The sequence below is a fragment of the Homo sapiens genome, chromosome 3 (assembly GCF_000001405.40).
Source record: "Homo sapiens chromosome 3, GRCh38.p14 Primary Assembly".
Taxonomy (NCBI): Eukaryota; Metazoa; Chordata; class Mammalia; order Primates; family Hominidae; genus Homo; species Homo sapiens.
In genome coordinates this window covers 124,697,895-124,714,472 of record NC_000003.12, presented here as the reverse complement: position 1 = coordinate 124,714,472, position 16,578 = coordinate 124,697,895, and the positions used below count along the sequence as shown (strand labels likewise).

The following is a 16,578-nucleotide window of genomic DNA, read 5'->3' as shown; positions in this document are numbered from 1 at the left end:
GGACGTGAGCCCAGATTCCTCATTCCAAGAGCAGCTTCTTTCCATTGCACTACAGTAGCCCAATATCAGCACCTTCCCTTGAAACAGCAGTTGGCAAGTCTGAAGGGGCAGAAGTTCTGGGTCAGCTGAACTCAACCTGGTACACAGTGACAATACCTTTCACTGGAACACAAGCACAGATGTTGTCATCTGTGGACAAGTATAGTTCACTAGCAATAGAATAATGTCTTTTGAGTTAGGAGGTTCCCTACAAACAGATCAGGCTCTGAAAGAGACTGTTAAGTCTGTTAAGTCTAAAGTGACAAACTACCAACTACTTAACTACATAAAGTTTAAGTTTCACAAAAGGATTACAGATGCTAGCAGCATGGGGTTTGTCCCCTCTGTTTTTTTTTTTTTCCAGCTGATTTTAAAAATAGCCAAACTTGTTTGCATTTTTGCTTTCTTATTTTATCATAAATAAATTTGTGACAAGTTACTGACTCAAACATCCCGTACACACACACCTAGACTAACAAGCACGCAAGAGCCGGACTAACATGGTAGTTGAAAAGCTGAAAATGCAGGCACTTCTCTACTGAAAAGGGGTTCTTGTGGAGCCATACTCGGCAATGGTCTTTGGCGGAAATGTCTGTCTCCTGTCTAGGCCAAGGGCCTCAGTAGCACCAATCTGATCACATTTCTGTTACTTGTATCACTTCTGAAAAGACTCTGTTCTCTTTAATCTCTGTGATATTTATCTAAACCACAGAACATACTGTCTCTTCTTAGCCTGGGGTAGTGGTGGGGAGAAAGGGACATTATTGCTTTATTACATCTATTCTAGGGGTCACGTATATGGTTGCCTAAGTCCCTAGAAAATCTGGAATGAGTGGAATGTTTTGAAGGTAAGGCTCTCCCCTGGAAGGAATTTTTTTGGGTGGTAGAATGGAGTTGCTATGGTGGTGAATTGACACACAGAGCCCTGTCTTTCAACTCCACCCTGTCAATCAGCCTACTGTCGACAAGCTCTTCCCAAACTCCTGCCCAGCCCAAGAGTCCATAATAGAAAGAAAATAAGCATGGAAGTGAGAGAGATATGGGTTCAAGTCCCAGCTTCTCCATTCCTAGTCTTAAGGAGCTAGTTTTAAGGACTTCCCTTATTCCTATTATGATTTTTTAATCTTTGAAATGGAAATGACATTGATTATAAAATGGGGGAGAGAGTGCATGTTATATGCAGCACTTTGCAAATGATAGGACCTTGTATAAAATGTAACTGTCTTTTCCATTAATTGTGGGCAAAAGCTAACCTAAATGGATGCAGGCGACTTTAGAGAGATGGCGTCTGTACTTACAGTTCCAAGATCAGGATGTAGGATGTGGGGGACTCATAGGTGTCATGGAGAGTGATGTACTGGGGGTGCTGTAGGTGCTGAAGCAGGGCAGCCTCGTGGGCAGCCTGTTCTTTCTTCTTCATTTTTTTGCTAACAAATTTCACAGCCACATCTTTGCGGGTAGCTTTGTGAATGCATTTCTTTACTATAGAGAAACGGCCTCTGGAAAAACAAAAGGGAGAGTTTGCCAACATTCATTAATTAACTAGATATATTTTATTCATGGATAAGTAAAGTTTTGTGGGAAGTGGTCAGATAGATCTTATTAGGAATCCTACTCTCCTATATTTTTAATTATAATGTTATTCAGAGAATCCATTTTTCCTTCTTTAGCATTTTAGGGTTTTTGAGATGTCAAAAACTTTTTATATTATATATAATCTAATTACATTATAAATTATATTTTTATATGTAATATAAAGCTTTTTTTTTTTTTTTTTCTGAGACAGGGTCTTGCTCTGCTACCCAGGCTAGAGTGCAGTCATGTGATCATGGCTCACTTCAGCCTCAACTTTCCAGGCTCAAGCCTCTTGCTTCGGCCTCCCAAAGCGCTGGGATTACAGGTGTGAGCCACTCTGCCTGGCCTAACTAATGTAATTTTTTAAACCAACATTTTTCTCTGCCATTTTAACCATCAATGGCAGTTCAGTTTTCTTTTCGAGGCAGAATATGTATTTCTGTGAAATACAACAATAGAAACAGCAATAATGTTAAAGAAGGAGGAATTCTACTCAACGATAATTTTAAAAACATTTTTATTATTTTTTTCTCCTTCTCATACATACCAATTCTACTTCCTTCAAGGTCTAGCACAAATGCTAACTCTTTGTGGGGCCATGACACGATGAAAAAGCCAGACTGTAAAGCCATTGCAAATTGGATTTTTGTTTTTTAATTTCAATAGGTTTTTGGGGAACAGGTGGTGTTTGGTTACATGAATATGTTCTTTAGAGGGTGATTTCTGAGATTTTGGTGCACCCATCACCCAAGCAGTGTACACAGTACCCAATGTGTAGTCTTTTATCTCTCACCACCCTCTCACCCTTTCCCCCAAGTCCCCAAAGTCCATCATATCATTCTTATGCCTTTGTGTCCTCATAGCTTAGCTCTCATTAAAAAGATTTTAAAGAGTCCATCATTTCATTTTATTTTATGTTTGTTATCTTCTTATTATGGAAACTTTCTAATATACACAAAAGTAAAGAAAATAGCAAAATAGATCTCCTATGCAGCCAACTTCAATAATCATGAACAATTTAATCAATTTTGTTTCATCTATCTCTTTTCTATCCCCTGCTTTTTTCCACCCTGGAATATTTTAAGCAAATCCAGATATAATGTCATGTCACTCATAAATACTTCAGTTTACATCCCTATCGACAAGAACACTTAGAAATATACAACCACTCTGCCATTATTGCATCTGACAAAATTACCCACCCCTGAAATAGAATGGTTCCCAGATACAGCTGTTGCCCTGTGGAAGGTGGCAAGAGAGCTCTGTAGGGCACAGGTCAGCAATGGGGCAGATGAAGGGAGGGTCAATGAGGTGACAAGGCAGCACCATCCAAGCCCTGCCCATGAGGTGTCCTAACCCACGAGCAGAGGAGAGAACAGTCTGAAGACCAGCCCATTCCTCCAACAGAAATGGGTGTGTCATGGCCACCATGAAGATGATCTAACTGCCTCCTTGACCTGGCTCTGTGCTCAAAAGACAACTTTCTAATAATACTTTTTTTCTCATCATATATTTGCATAAAATAATGTGCTAATAAGGCCAGGTGCAATGGCTCATGCTTGTCATCCCAGTGCTTTGGGAAGCTGAGACAAGAGGATTGCTTGAGCCCAGGAGTTTGAGACTAGCCTGGACAACATAGTGAGATCCTTTCGCTTTAAAAATTTTTTTTAAAAAAATAATGTACTAATCAGTAAAACAAGTCTTAGACAAGTATTTATTGAATATATATTATTTACCAAATATCATTCTTGGCACAGTAAGCAAATATTTGGTCAAAATGGCAGTTTTGTTTCACATCATAAATTAATAAATTGCCATTCTGGTTTTAACAGCACTCTCTTTGTGAGTTTGATTATCATAAGTTACTTCTTGCAGAGGAGTGAAATGAAACAATGAAAACAATTGAATGCTGAGGATAGCTCTCCCGAATTTAGTGGCCATCTCAAGGTACTGCTAGCTTAATTTTTAGAAAAAGGTTTGTAGTTGTCAAAGTTATGCAGACCCATGGTTTAAAAAGTCAACTATCTTTACAGGTTTGTTATTTAAAAACAATTCATCCCCATTTTTCCTTCCCTGGAGTCTTGCTCTGTCACCCACGCTTGAGTGCAGTAGCATGATCTTGGCTCACTGCAATCTCTGCCTCCCAAGCTCAAGTGATCCTCCAACCTCAGCCTCCCAAGTAGCTGGGACTATAGGCGTGTACCACCATACCTGTCTAATTTTTTGTATTTTTTTGTAGAGACAGGATTTTGCCATATTGCCGAGGCTGGTCTTGAATTCCTGAGCTCAAAGCGATCCGCCCACCTTGGCCTCCCAAAGTGCTGGGCTTATAGGTGTGAGACATTGTGCCTGGCCTGAGAGGCAGTTTAATATATCAATTTAATATAGTTTAGCAGATTATTGAAATATTTACTTCTATGACTCTCAATAGTATGCTTTGAGTGGCTACTTCTTGATTTTTCAGTTTTAATTATTTCTGTTGACATCCCACTGTGGAAGATGAGATTTTAGCCTCCTTCCTCCCTCTGTCCCTGCCACATAACTACTATCCCCAACCACTGTCTTCCCAATAGAATTATAATCAATATTCAGTATCTACATTACTACACTATGTCCATGCTATTCACAGTTGAGCCTCTAGTAAACTATGAATACTTTTCCTTTTTGTGATAGAATGCAATCTTCAATCATTTCTGACAAAGAGTGCATGGGAAATAAATTGTTTCAGACTTGCATATCTGAAAATTTGTACTTATTCTACTTTTATACTTGATTGTGAGTTTAGCTGAGTATAATCCAGTTGGGAAAACTTTTCATTCACAATTTTGAAGGAATTATTCTGTTGCCTTCCAACTTCTATTGTTGCTGGTAATGTTGACTGCTAATGTCTAAAGCATTATGATTCCTAATCCTTCATGACCCCTTTTCCTCATGGAGAATTTGTAGGTTCTTCTCTTTTCCTGGGTGTTGAGAAATTTCACAGTTATGTGCTGCAGTATGATCTATTTTCATCCATTAGGTTGGGCACTCGGGTGCTCTCTCAATTAGTAAACTCATGTCTTTTCATTCTGGGAATATCTTATTTTTTAGAAACAATTCCTTCTTCTCTGTTTTATTTGTTCTATTCTCTCTTTCTGGAATTTCTGTTTTTCAAATTGGAACTTCTAGTCTAGTCCTCTAATTCTTCTTTTCCTATTCTATTTCCCATTTATTTTCCGGTTGCTCAGATTTCTGGGAAATTTCCTCAACTCTGTCTTCCCACACTTCTATTAAGGTTTTCAGGTCAGGTGCAGTGGCTCACGCCTGTAATCCCAACACCTTGGGAGACCAAGGTGGGTGCATCACTTGAGGACAAGAGTTCAAGACCAGCCTGGACAACATGGTGAAACCCTGTTTCTACTAAATATACAAAAATTAGCCAGGCATGGTTGTGCGTGCCTGTAATCCCAGCTACTCAGGAGACTGAGGCACAAAAATCACTTGAACTTGGGAGGCAGAGGTTGCAGTGAGCCAAGATTGTGCCACTGCACTCCAGCCTGGGTGAAAGAGCAAGACTCTGTCTAAATAAATAAATAAATAAAAATAAAATTTTAAAAAAGGTTCTGTTTTCATTTTTTGTTTCTTTTTTATTGCAGGATTATGCTCTTGTTTTGTAATTTCAATATTATCTTTTATCTAAGGATACTAATGAGAGTTTTTGGAAGTCTTTTGCTATATAGTTTGTTTCCTTTCTTCTACTTTTGTTTTGATTTCTGTCTTTCATTTTAAAGATTTTCCTCAACTGTTCAGAAATTCTTAGTAGTCAATTCATTTCACCTGGAGGATATTTTTGCTAGATTTAGAATTCTTGGTGGCCAGCTCTTTCCTTTAAGCATTTTAAAGATGTTGGTTCTGCTGTCTTCTTGCCTCCATGAATTCTGATGAGAAATCTGCTGTCATTCGAGTCACTGTTCTACCTAAATGTAATATGTTGTTTTTTTCTCTTGTTTCTTTCAAGATTTTTTTTCATATATTTGTTTTCAGCAGTTTGATTACAATGTGTTCTGGGCATGGTTTTTGTTTGTTTTTTATTTAGGTCACCAAGCTTCTTTAAAAATTTGTGTCTTTTACCAAATTTGGGACATTTCCAGTTGTTATTTCTTCAAAAATTTTTTCTGCACCAATCACTTTTTTCTTTCCCTTAGGAGTTCTAATGACATGAATGTCAGACCTTTTGATATTTTTCCATAGGTCCCTGGGGTTACGTCTAATATTTGTAAAACATTTTTTCTCTCTATTCTTCATGTCAGATAATTTATATTTCTTCCTCTTCAATTTCACCAACTCCTCCATCAGCTTTGTTCTGCTATTGAATCCATGCTGTAAATTTAAAAATTTTAGATATTGTATTTTTTGTTATGCAATTTAAATTTAAAAATCATTTCTATTTCTCTGTCAATAACTTCTATCTTTCCATTCATTTCAAGAGTATTCACCTTTACCTTACAGAGGATGGTTGTAATTGCTACTTTAAAGTCTTTGTGTGATAGTTCCAATATTTGGATCATGTCAGAGCTGGCATCTGTTGATTGTTTTCTTCCCGAGAATTTTTTAAGTTTTTTCTGCTTTTTGTAATGTTGAACAAATTTAGATTGTATCCCAAACATTTCAAATGTTATGTTGTGAGACTGATTCTGTTAAAATCCTCTGGAGGAGTTTGATTTTTGGTTTATTTGTATGTTTTGGTCAGCAATCAACTTGGTTAGGTTCAGACTGCAAGTTCTGTCTCACCTTCTGTGGGAGGTGGTTCTATTGTCAGTTCAGTTTTCAGTGTTTACTATGCTTTTAGGTCTGCCCCTTGTGAGCACCACACAAAGATTAGTCTGAGACTAAACAGTCACTGAGCAGTGGTTTACATCATAGTCCAGTTCTCAGAGCCTTGCTATATTTCTTTGGATGTGCCTCATACAAGCACAGCTGGAAGGTGGCCCAGGATTTGAGTCATTTCATATAGAATTAGGAGATCTTCTTCTTTTGCTTTCTCCTGAGATTTCCCCTGCATTCTTTATCTCCCAAGTGCCCCTTTTTGAAGTTGTCTGGCCAGAAAGATGGGATTCCCTCAGAGGTTTAGCTTCCTGCATTGTCATGCAGTTTCACATGACTGCCCTCGGGGTGAAGCAGTGACAGTAAGGAGACACAAAAAAACAATTAAGCATGAATTATTCTGTTCTCTCCAGCTCAAAGGGTTCCCTTTTCTTTGTCCTTTGGCCAGAAATGTGGGGTTTTCTTGGAGTTTTTGCTGTTTGTGCATGCTACATAGTTCTTTGATTTGGCCCACACTTGTATCAAAGCTGGGGAGATAAAGGAGAAAAGAGGAAAGAAGAAAAAAGGTAGGAAGGAAGAAGGGAAGGAAGGAGGGAAGGAAGGAAGGAGGGAAGGAAGGAAGGAAGGAAGGAAGGAAGGAAGGAAGGAAGGAAGGAAGGAAACTGCTATTCTCCTTGTCATTAGCCATTCTTCAAGTTTTTACTTTACTTTCTTTCCTTTTATTTTTTTGAGACAGGCTCTTGCTCTGTTGCCCAGGCTGGAATGCAGTGGTGCGATCTCGACCTCCCAGGCTCAAGCAATCCTCCCACCTCAGCTTCCCAAGTAGCTGGGACTACAGGTGTGCACCACCATGCCTAGCTAGTTTTTTCTTTTATTTTTTGTAGAGATGAAGTCTCGCCATGTTGCCCAGGCTGGTCTTGGACTCCTGGGCTCAAGTGATCCTCCTGCCTCAGCCTCCCAAAGTGCTGGGATTACAGGCGTGAGCCACCACACCCAGCCCAAGTCTTTTGTCTTTCCACTCTCATCTCTATTATTTAATTTGATACCCAGGTATTGCTTTTTGTATCTTGTCCAGGGATTCTGGTTGTAATCAGTGGGAGATAAAGGCTACAGTGGGCTTACTCTATCTTGGGTGGCATTGGGAGTTGGCTCATTTTGAAAGTTCAGGAATAAAAACGTGTTTGGTGGCAGGGCACGGTGGCTCACACCTGTAATCCCAGCACTTTGGGAGGCTGAGGCAGGCGGATCACCTGAGGTCAAGAGTTTGAGATCAGCCTGGCCAACATGGAGAAACCCCATCTTTACTAAAAATACAAAAATTAGCCGGGCATGGTGGCAGGCACCTGTAATTCCAGCTGCTCGGGAGGCTGAGGCAGGAGAATCGCTTGAACCTGGGAGGTAGATGTTGCAGTGAGCCAAGACTGCATCACTGCACTCCAGCCTGGGAGACAGAGCGAGACTCTGTCTCAAAAAAAAAAAAGAAAAAGAAAAAAGATGTTTAGAAGCTCTGAGCTTGTGGGTGAAGCCTGTCACCTTTTACTTTACTACAGAGTGATTTGACAAGACTGCTCAGTTGGGAAAGCTCCACAATCAGTATCTTTAAGTCTTTCCTTTTGGGCTGGTTAGAGTTCCCAGAGAAAGAGCCCTCTGCTTTCTGCCTAGAGGGTGAAACCCTGGCTGTCAACCTCTGGAGGTCCAGTGGATAAGAGAGCTGGGGTTCTGAGTACCCAGCATGCATACATTCTCATATTGTCCCTGTTTGCAGAATGGCTCCACTGCCTTCAACTGTGCCTGGTGTCCCCAAGGGCAGGGATGCTCCATTTTTCCCTTTCCAGAAAATAAAACTCCAGGCCAGGCACGGTGGATTATGCCTGCAATCCCAGCACTTTGGGAGGCCAAGGCGGGAGGACTGCTTGAAACTGGGAATTCGAGACCAACCTGGGCAACATAGGGAGACCTTGTCTCTATGAAAAATTAAAAAGTTAGCTGGGCATAATGGTGTGTGTCTGTAGTCCCAGCTACTTGGGAGGCTAAGAGGATCACTTGAGCCCAGGAGGTCAAGGATGCAGTGAACCATGATTGAGCCACTGCAGTCCAGCCTAGGTGACAGAGTGAGACCCTGTCCTAAAACAACAACGACAACAAAAGAAACAAAGAAATAAGAAAGAGAGAGAGAGAAAGAGGGAGGAAGGAAGGGAGGGAGGGAAGGAAGGAAGGAAGGAAGGAAGGAAGGGAGGAAGGAAGGAAGGAAGGGAGGGACCAGTCTTTTCTTGGATGAAGAAAGACAATCACACAGATACTTGAAGCTGGGGAGCAGATTTGGAGCCAGCTTATCCCTTGGGAATGCTGACTGGTTGCCTGTATAGAATCTAAATTGTAGCAGGACCAGGCCTCCAGGTAAGGATGGCAGGCTGAACACAGACATCAGTTTTCACTCCCTTCTGAGACTCAACTTCTCAAAAAATTTCAGCCAATCCTTTCAATTTTAGCATCCTCCTTTTACCTACTTCCAGAGGTACGTGATGCTCCTAATACCTGAGCTTTTGGGTAATTCTGCTGCAAAAATTATACTGGCCCTCATTTGACCCCATGACTGACTGACTCACTCAGGTCTTGAAGGTCATTTATCATTCTTTCATCTGTTTTTCTGTAGAAGAAAAACATGAATTTCTGTGAAAAACATCTGTATTTCTGTGAAAATAATACTTTATTTTTGTCTCTTCTTCCAATGTCCTCATTCTTATATGCCTACTTAAAAAAATAAAATAAAATAAAATAAACCCTGCATTATAGTTTCAATGAAGTTTAGGAAGAAGTGAAGATAGATGCCTGTGTTCAACCTGCCATCTGACCTGGAGGCCTGGTACTGCTACCTTTTTATATAGCAATGGGTATAGGCAATGGGTCAGCATTTCCAGTGACAATCCCCTGCCTTCTCTATACTGCATTGTTGCCTGTATAGTTCATTCCTGGTTAAACACGCCATACTCAAGTGCCCTTTCCTTCTATGGATGTGCTGTAGGAGAGAATCTTCCTGCACTGTGGCTTTTTATAGTATTTAATTACCAGAGCACTCCTTTTAACAGAATAGTCACAAAGGCCCAGAATTCCAGATTTAGGTGTGATGAAGCAAGTCGATTGACTTCTACAGCCCTGGCACAGATATCTTTCCTGTGTCTCACATTAACATCTCCATGTATTATTTGGGCCTGGTGGGGTGGCTCACGCCTGTAATCCCAGTACTTTGGGAGGCCAAGGTGGGTGGATTGCTTGAGCTCAGGAGTTTGAGATTACCCTGGGCAACATGGTGAAATACCGTATCTACAAAAAAAATGCAAAAATTAGCTGGCTGTGATGGCTCACGCCTGTAGTCCCAGCTACTTGGGAGGTTGAGGTGGGAGGATCACTTGAGCCTGGAAGGTCGAAACTGCAGTGAGCAGTGATCATGCCACTGCACTCAAGCCTGGGCAACATAGTGAGTCCCTGTCTCAAAGAAAAAAGAAAAAAGAAAAAAAAAGAATTTCCATGTATTATTTCCATTCTGTTAATGTACAACATTTTGAAAAGATCTTCTGAAAATATAAGGACTATTCTTAGGAGAGAGGACAAGCTTCAGGCTGTTAGAGACTTTAAAACAAAAACATCGATTACTTTTGAACAGATAAGAAAATTGATCTTCCCTTTGAGAAATATCAAATCAGCCATCTGTTTTAGCTAAAACATGACTTAACCTATGGCTAATAATAGCAAACACATGCCTCCAGGAGGAATTAACTGGGGCATCCGGGTGATGAAACCAATTTCATTTAGAACTAGCTGGGGATTTAATCGGCCCATTATTGGGGGTCATGTTTAGCTTCACAAATTTCAATATAATAAAGCAAACTAGATTTCAGTTACTAGAGCTTATTTTGGACAATAATCGATATGATGAGAAACAATATATGCTAGTAAAACAAGACCAGGCTTGGAGTTGGGTAGCCCAGAATTTGAATCCTGGCTCCACACCTCCTAGTTGTGGGGCTTTAAGAAAGTTACTTAACCTCCCTGACCCTGAGTTTCCTTTACTGAAAATATACTTCAGGCTGGGTGAGATGGGTGGCTCACACCTGTAATCCCACACTTTGGGAGACTGAGGCAGGAGGATTGCTTGAGCCCAGGAATTTGAGACCAGCCTGGGCAACATAGTGAGAACTCCATCTCTACAAAACAACAACAAAAGATTCTTTTAAAAGTTTGCCAGGTATGGTGGTGTGCACCTGTAGTCCCAGCTACTTGGAAGACTGATCATCCTCCCCGCAAGCGTGGGAGGATAGCTTCTTAGGAGATTGAGGGTGCAGTGAGCTATGATACTGCCACTGCATTCCAGCCCTGGTGACAGAGACAGACCCTGTCTCAAAAAGAGAAAAAAGAAGACAAAAAGACAATATACTCAGCCTGGTGCAATGGCTCAGGCCTGTAATCTCAGCACTTTGGGAGGCTGAGGTAGGAGGATTGCTTGAGCCCAGGAGTTCAAGACCAGCCTGGGCAACATAGCAATAACCGATCTCTATCTTTTTTTTTTAAATCTGCTCAAACAGTATCTCATAGTGTTGTATGGATTAAATTAAATAATGTTTGTGTATTAAGCAGTAGAGCTCAAACAAACAAAAATAACATTTGTATATAGTATCTGCTTAGTATCTAGAATACTATAGATACTGAGATCATCATTATCATCATCACCATTACATAAATTTCCTTGGCTTTTTTTCTTCTGTTTGGCTACACAAAGAAGACAGGAAAGGAGAGGTAGAGTTTGTTTTTGATGAAAGGTGCTGTAACGGAAGGCAGTGAATGATATTGTGACTCCTGCCTAAGACACAGGCAGAAGGACCATTTTGGTTTCCTCTACAACGTCGGTCACAACCACGTCAGTTAAAAAATGTTATGCTTCACTGAGAAATGCTAATCAGAGCTAGAAATGATGTCAATGGCCCATCGTTAGTGGGTATTCTTTTATTTATACATCCGGGGGGAAGGATCTTACGGGTGGGCAACCTGTAAGATCTACCTACATTCCCTCACACAGACCACCTGGAGACCAAAGCATGCATAGGGATGAATGCCTTTTGTTTCTTTCCCATAGACTATTTTGTGGGCCAGGTGATAGATTTTTAATTTTTCTGTTAAAAGTCATATTTTTATCTGTTTTATTTTTGAGGACACACTAAATGTTCTCTAACCAAAATACTGCAAGTGAGAAAGAGAGAGAAAGAGAAAGGTATGGAGTGTATGTGTGTGGCAGGGGGAGGATTGGGATTAGAAATACTCATAAAATAATTAATGTGCTTGGTACACGGGCAATATAGAGATGTATATCCAACAATTAGTGATTGCACAGTCTTCCCAGGAACATGTGGAAATTTTTACAAAAAGTAACCATGTACTACTCATAAAGCAAGTCCAAACAAAAACCAAGGAATCAGTACCATATAGATTTTCTGACCACAATGCAAATTAAGTTAGAAATCAGTAATAAAAAGATACTTTAAAAAAACTCATACCTTTAAAAATCTCATATATATTAAAACATGTTTCCATTATAACCAGGTCAAAGAAAAATTCACAGTTGAAGACAACTACATATAACTTATAAGGAAAATACTGCATATCAAAACTCAGGACCTATAGCTAAAATTGTACTTTGAAGAAAATTTTGGGCCTTAATTTCTTATATTAGAAAAGAAGAAAGGTTGACAACTGATGAATGAAGCATCCAACTTAAGAAGTTAGAAAAAGAACAGTAGAAAATACAAACGAATATTTTAGTTTTTTTCTTGCTATGGAGAGAATTGCATTTGTAAAAGAAATAAACAATGACAACAACAAAAAGTTACTGTTCTGATGTGATGTTGCTAGGTGTTCATGAATGAAGGAATATAAAACTGTGTCATTACCTTCCAATTTCATTCAGCTCAGTGTAAGCTGAGTCAAAATTTTCCTTCCAAGAAATGGTGGCACCATCAGCAGCAGCATCTTCGGAAGAAAGAGAATCCATTTACAATATCGAGGATGTCATATAAGAATAAAGAAAAAATTAACAGAAAAGCTCCAGAGTAACCCCAAAGCAATTCTCATGACCAAATATGGAGTCTGACTCAGTGGGAAAATGCCATGATTCTCTGGAATGTTATTTTAAAAAATCATCCAAGGGGAAACTGACATGACAGAGTCAGCTTCTCTCTCCCATCTACTTAAACAAAGGGAAAACGCAGTACAATCAGAAATATGACTTATGGATATTTTATAAGATAAATTTAGGAGAAAAATTTAAAAGGGATAAAAGAACACTTTGAAGACCTAGAAAAGCTCGTGAAAATCAGGGGTGTAAGGAGGATGCAGAGAGAGAAGGGAAAAGTTACAAGGTCAAGAAAGGAGAAAAGGAAAAGACATTTTAGAAATTTCTCTTTCTAACCTGAGCCACATAGCAAGACCCTGTCTCTACAAAAAAATCAAAAACTAGCCAGGTATGGTGGTGTACACTTGTAGTCCCAGCTACTCAGGAGGCTGAGGTTGGAGGATCACTTGAGCTCAGGAGGTCGAGGCTGCAATGAGCTATGATCGCGCCACTGCACTCCAGCCTGGGAGACAGAGCGAGACCCTGTCTCCAAAAAAAAAAAAAAAAGAAAGAAAGAAAGAAAAAGAAAAAATTATCTTCTTATCCCGCTCTTCTCAGGCATTAATGAGCTTATCTGGTATACTGAAGGATTTAGCTTAACCCACAATATATGCCTGAGTAGATTCTTTGGCAGTATTACCTTGTGTGATGTGTCAATTCCTTGGCAATGATTCACGCACGCGTGCACACACACACGCACACAGAGCAAGCACAGCAATACGCATTTGTGTCATCTGTTGGGGACCAAGGTTCACAAATAGCAAAACACACAGCATCATCCGGGGCTGGAGCAAGTGAGCAGCCTGGGAGGAGAGGGGTCACATGAGCAGCTTGGCTCAGCTGACCCTGGAGCCAGTTCCCTCAGGTTTCCCAGAGCACAGCCTGGCTGAGACTGAAGGCGGCTTATCCATCTTGAATTCTGAGGAAACAGAGACCCAGGGCGTAGGTTTCTGCAAGAGTCACAGGCTCGTGGGAACAAAGTCAAAGTCACTGGGAGAAAACCGGGCTGACTGTGGGACTGGAACTGGAGAGCATTTCTGGATTCAGGTGGGGGCAGAGGTGATTTAGAGGGTTTCCCAAACCCCTCTGGAGACTCCAGAATTCCCTTAACCCTAAGGCACACAGGTCCATGGTCTTTCGAGTACAGTCAGCTGCCCCCCACCCACTGCTCTCCCCAGTACACACAGACCACTCCCTTGCACTGCCCAAAATCTCACCATTTGGAGATTTCTTTAGGATAGCCAAGTTTTCTCTTTCAAAATGTCCCTGGGACGAAGATGTTTTGGGCAAAATAAGAACCTTATTTGTAAAATACTCATATTTAGCTAGCTATATGTGTATCTTAGTTACTTTTTCAACAAATCTACATAAAATTATACCCATGTTGAAAAAAGAAATTCTGGGATGATTGGGGGTGAGGAAACTATGAAATCCTCATGTTGTAATGAAGTCCTTCAGCCAGGTTGCTTTTCTTTCCCCCATTTGAAGTGGGTGAGTCCCTCATGCAGGGAGGTACATTTACGGCTGGCAGGGGTGCCCGGGTGGGAGGAGGCTTTGTATTACTGTCTCAGAAGAGGGGCAGAGAACATCCACAGGACTCATGACTCCTGCCTGTAACTCTCCATTCCTGGGGACATACTCATTCCCCAGGGAACTTGGCAGGTGCAGGGGTAGGCATGGGTGCAGACCTAACATTTGCCCAAGATGCTTGGAGCTATACTTTACAGAAACATTCTTCTTAGTCCTCTAAAAGGTGCCTCTTGCATGGTGGCCTGACATGTCAACGTGCCCAGGAGTCTGTGACAGGCAGCCAGGTGCCTCAATCCCACTGCCTGGGGGGCCAGGGCTGGGCTGGGACTCACCATATTCTGGAAGTCGCACAAACTCCGAGGGCTCGCTGGGAAGGCTGATTCCCCAGGGGTTACTGGCACTGACTCTGAACTGATAAGGACACCCGGGACTAAGGTCTTCGATGACGAGGTAAGTGTCCAAGGTCGAAGCCACTGACTGCTGCCAGATCTGAGAACCTAGTGTACAGTTTCCCAGGAGAGGGAAAGAGAAAAGCCAAAGGGATATTGTTTCAAAGACCTTCAGCAAACAAAGACAGGAAAATAGACACATTCAATTCAAGGGATGCTTGTGGTTACCGTGTCAGGCTCTGAAAGCCTGTAGGCTAACTATGGTAGTTTGGATTCGGTTTCCTAAATGACGGAATAAATGGTGAGAGGCGTGGAAGAAGCTGGCCTATAGATTCTGTTCACTTTCAAATGTGCAAGTGCCAGAGTAAAAAGACATAGATAATACAGAATTTACAGGGGACACATGGCAAACTTTTAATAAGGCCAGAAGAGTATATTTTTAGTTAATAACATGAGAGAAAATATGCATTTGGAAATGGAAACAAAATGGAAAGTAACATGTATTGAACACTACGTACACGTAAAATACTGTGGAAGGTGTTTTCAACATAATTCTCTCATAGTTAAATGAGATTTAAGACAGAAAGTTAATTCTGTCTTAAATCCACAGAAACCCAGTGAGGTAGAGACCGCTAATCTTACTTTACAGATGTAGAAACTGAGCCTCAGAAATATTGAACAATTTGCCCAAGAGAACTTAGTTAATGAGCTGAACTATGAACTGGATAATGCTAAGGTAAACATGAACTTTGTAAAATGTGTCTCCCAGCTCACTATTAATACTTTTGTGCTAACCTGGGAGACACAAGAGTGAACAGCTTAAGAAGGATGCAGAAATAAATGGGTTTATAACTGCATAGGGCCTGTTTAATAAGAAAGAAGGAGAAAGAAGAGTTAAAATAATAAGCATAATGGAAAGTAGAATAAAACAAATGGTTTTGGTTCGGGGGATAGGGTAGCAAGCACTTGCTTTCAGTTCAATTGTGTAATTCCTAATGTTATTCAGAGTAATTGTGTTATTACTGTGAATAACTGTAGTTGTGTTATTAACAATTAGAGCTATCTGGCAGCTTCTTATTTTAACTAATTCTTGCTAACTAGATGGAAGTCTCAGTTGTTTCTAACTGCTGAAGAAATATATTCACTTTTAGCATGTAAATGTAACAAATTTTAACAGTTTAAATTGCACAATTTTAAACGGCACAATTAAAAAATATATATTCTCTTAATTTTATCTGGGGATAGGGGGTGTAGAACTCCACCCGTACTACACTAGTTATTTCTCTGGGAGAAAGATCACAAATTATCCAAGTAGACATCTGGGTTCTAGTGCTAGCTCTGCCTCTCACTAACTATAATCTTGTGTTTCTTAACTTTCTTTAGGCCTCAGCCTCCCACTCTGTAAAATGGGATTGATCATCCCTGTCTGGGTGATCGAGCATGTTAAGTAGGGATACATGCATGAAGACACCTTGAAACCTGCCCTGGGTCATAAATATGTCAGGGAGGTTTGGATCATCTTAGCCAAAACAGCTGCTCGACATCTGGGATCAGAAGGCAGCTGTAATCTGGCACTGAGGCCTCTGTGCTGAGTTGGAAGACACAACAAGGAACAACTTCTGAAAGATGAGGAGGCTAATATGTTCACAATTCTGAAGGACCTCCTAGAGACGAAGAGAAGACAGAAAAACAAGAGCAGGAGGCCGGGCGCGGTGGCTTACGCCTGTAATCCCAGCACTTCCGGAGGCTGAGGCAAGTGGACTGTTTGCGCTCAGGAGTTTCACAGCAGCCAGCAGCCTGGGCAGCATAGTGAGACCCTGTCTCTACTAAAAATACAAAAATTAGCCGGGTGTGGTGGTGTGCGCTTTAGTCCCAGCTACTCAGGAGGCTGAGGTGGGAGGTTGGCTTGAGCCCAGGAGGTGGAGGCTGCAGTGAGCCCACATTGCACCACTGCACTCCAGCCTGGGTTGATGGAGCCAAACCCTGTCTCAAAAAAAATAAACAATAAAAATAAAGGAAAATAAAAGTGGCTCATGCCTGTAATCCCAGCACTTTGGGAGGCCAAGGTGGGAGGATCACGTT

The 16,578-nt window shown here is 40.9% G+C and overlaps 1 protein-coding gene and 1 long non-coding RNA gene across 19 annotated transcripts in view; one reads left to right on the top strand and one right to left on the bottom strand.

The window, feature by feature from the left end:
- The window catches only part of KALRN (kalirin RhoGEF kinase), a 692,957-nt gene that overhangs the window by 11,853 nt on the left and 664,526 nt on the right, over positions 1–16,578 (bottom strand). For all 18 annotated transcript variants that reach the window (XM_006713810.4, XM_017007429.2, XM_011513279.3 and 15 more), the window contains 3 exons: positions 14,440–14,604; positions 12,357–12,435; positions 1,338–1,538 (listed from right to left, as the gene is read on the bottom strand). In XM_006713810.4, coding sequence (XP_006713873.1) covers positions 1,338–1,538; positions 12,357–12,435; positions 14,440–14,604 — 445 coding nt within the window. The remainder of the gene's footprint in view (positions 1–1,337; positions 1,539–12,356; positions 12,436–14,439; positions 14,605–16,578) is intronic.
- LOC124906276 (uncharacterized) lies at positions 13,450–16,522 on the top strand. The gene is made up of 3 exons (XR_007096039.1): positions 13,450–13,624; positions 14,320–14,557; positions 15,880–16,522. It is a non-coding gene; the product is annotated as an uncharacterized LOC124906276 (long non-coding RNA).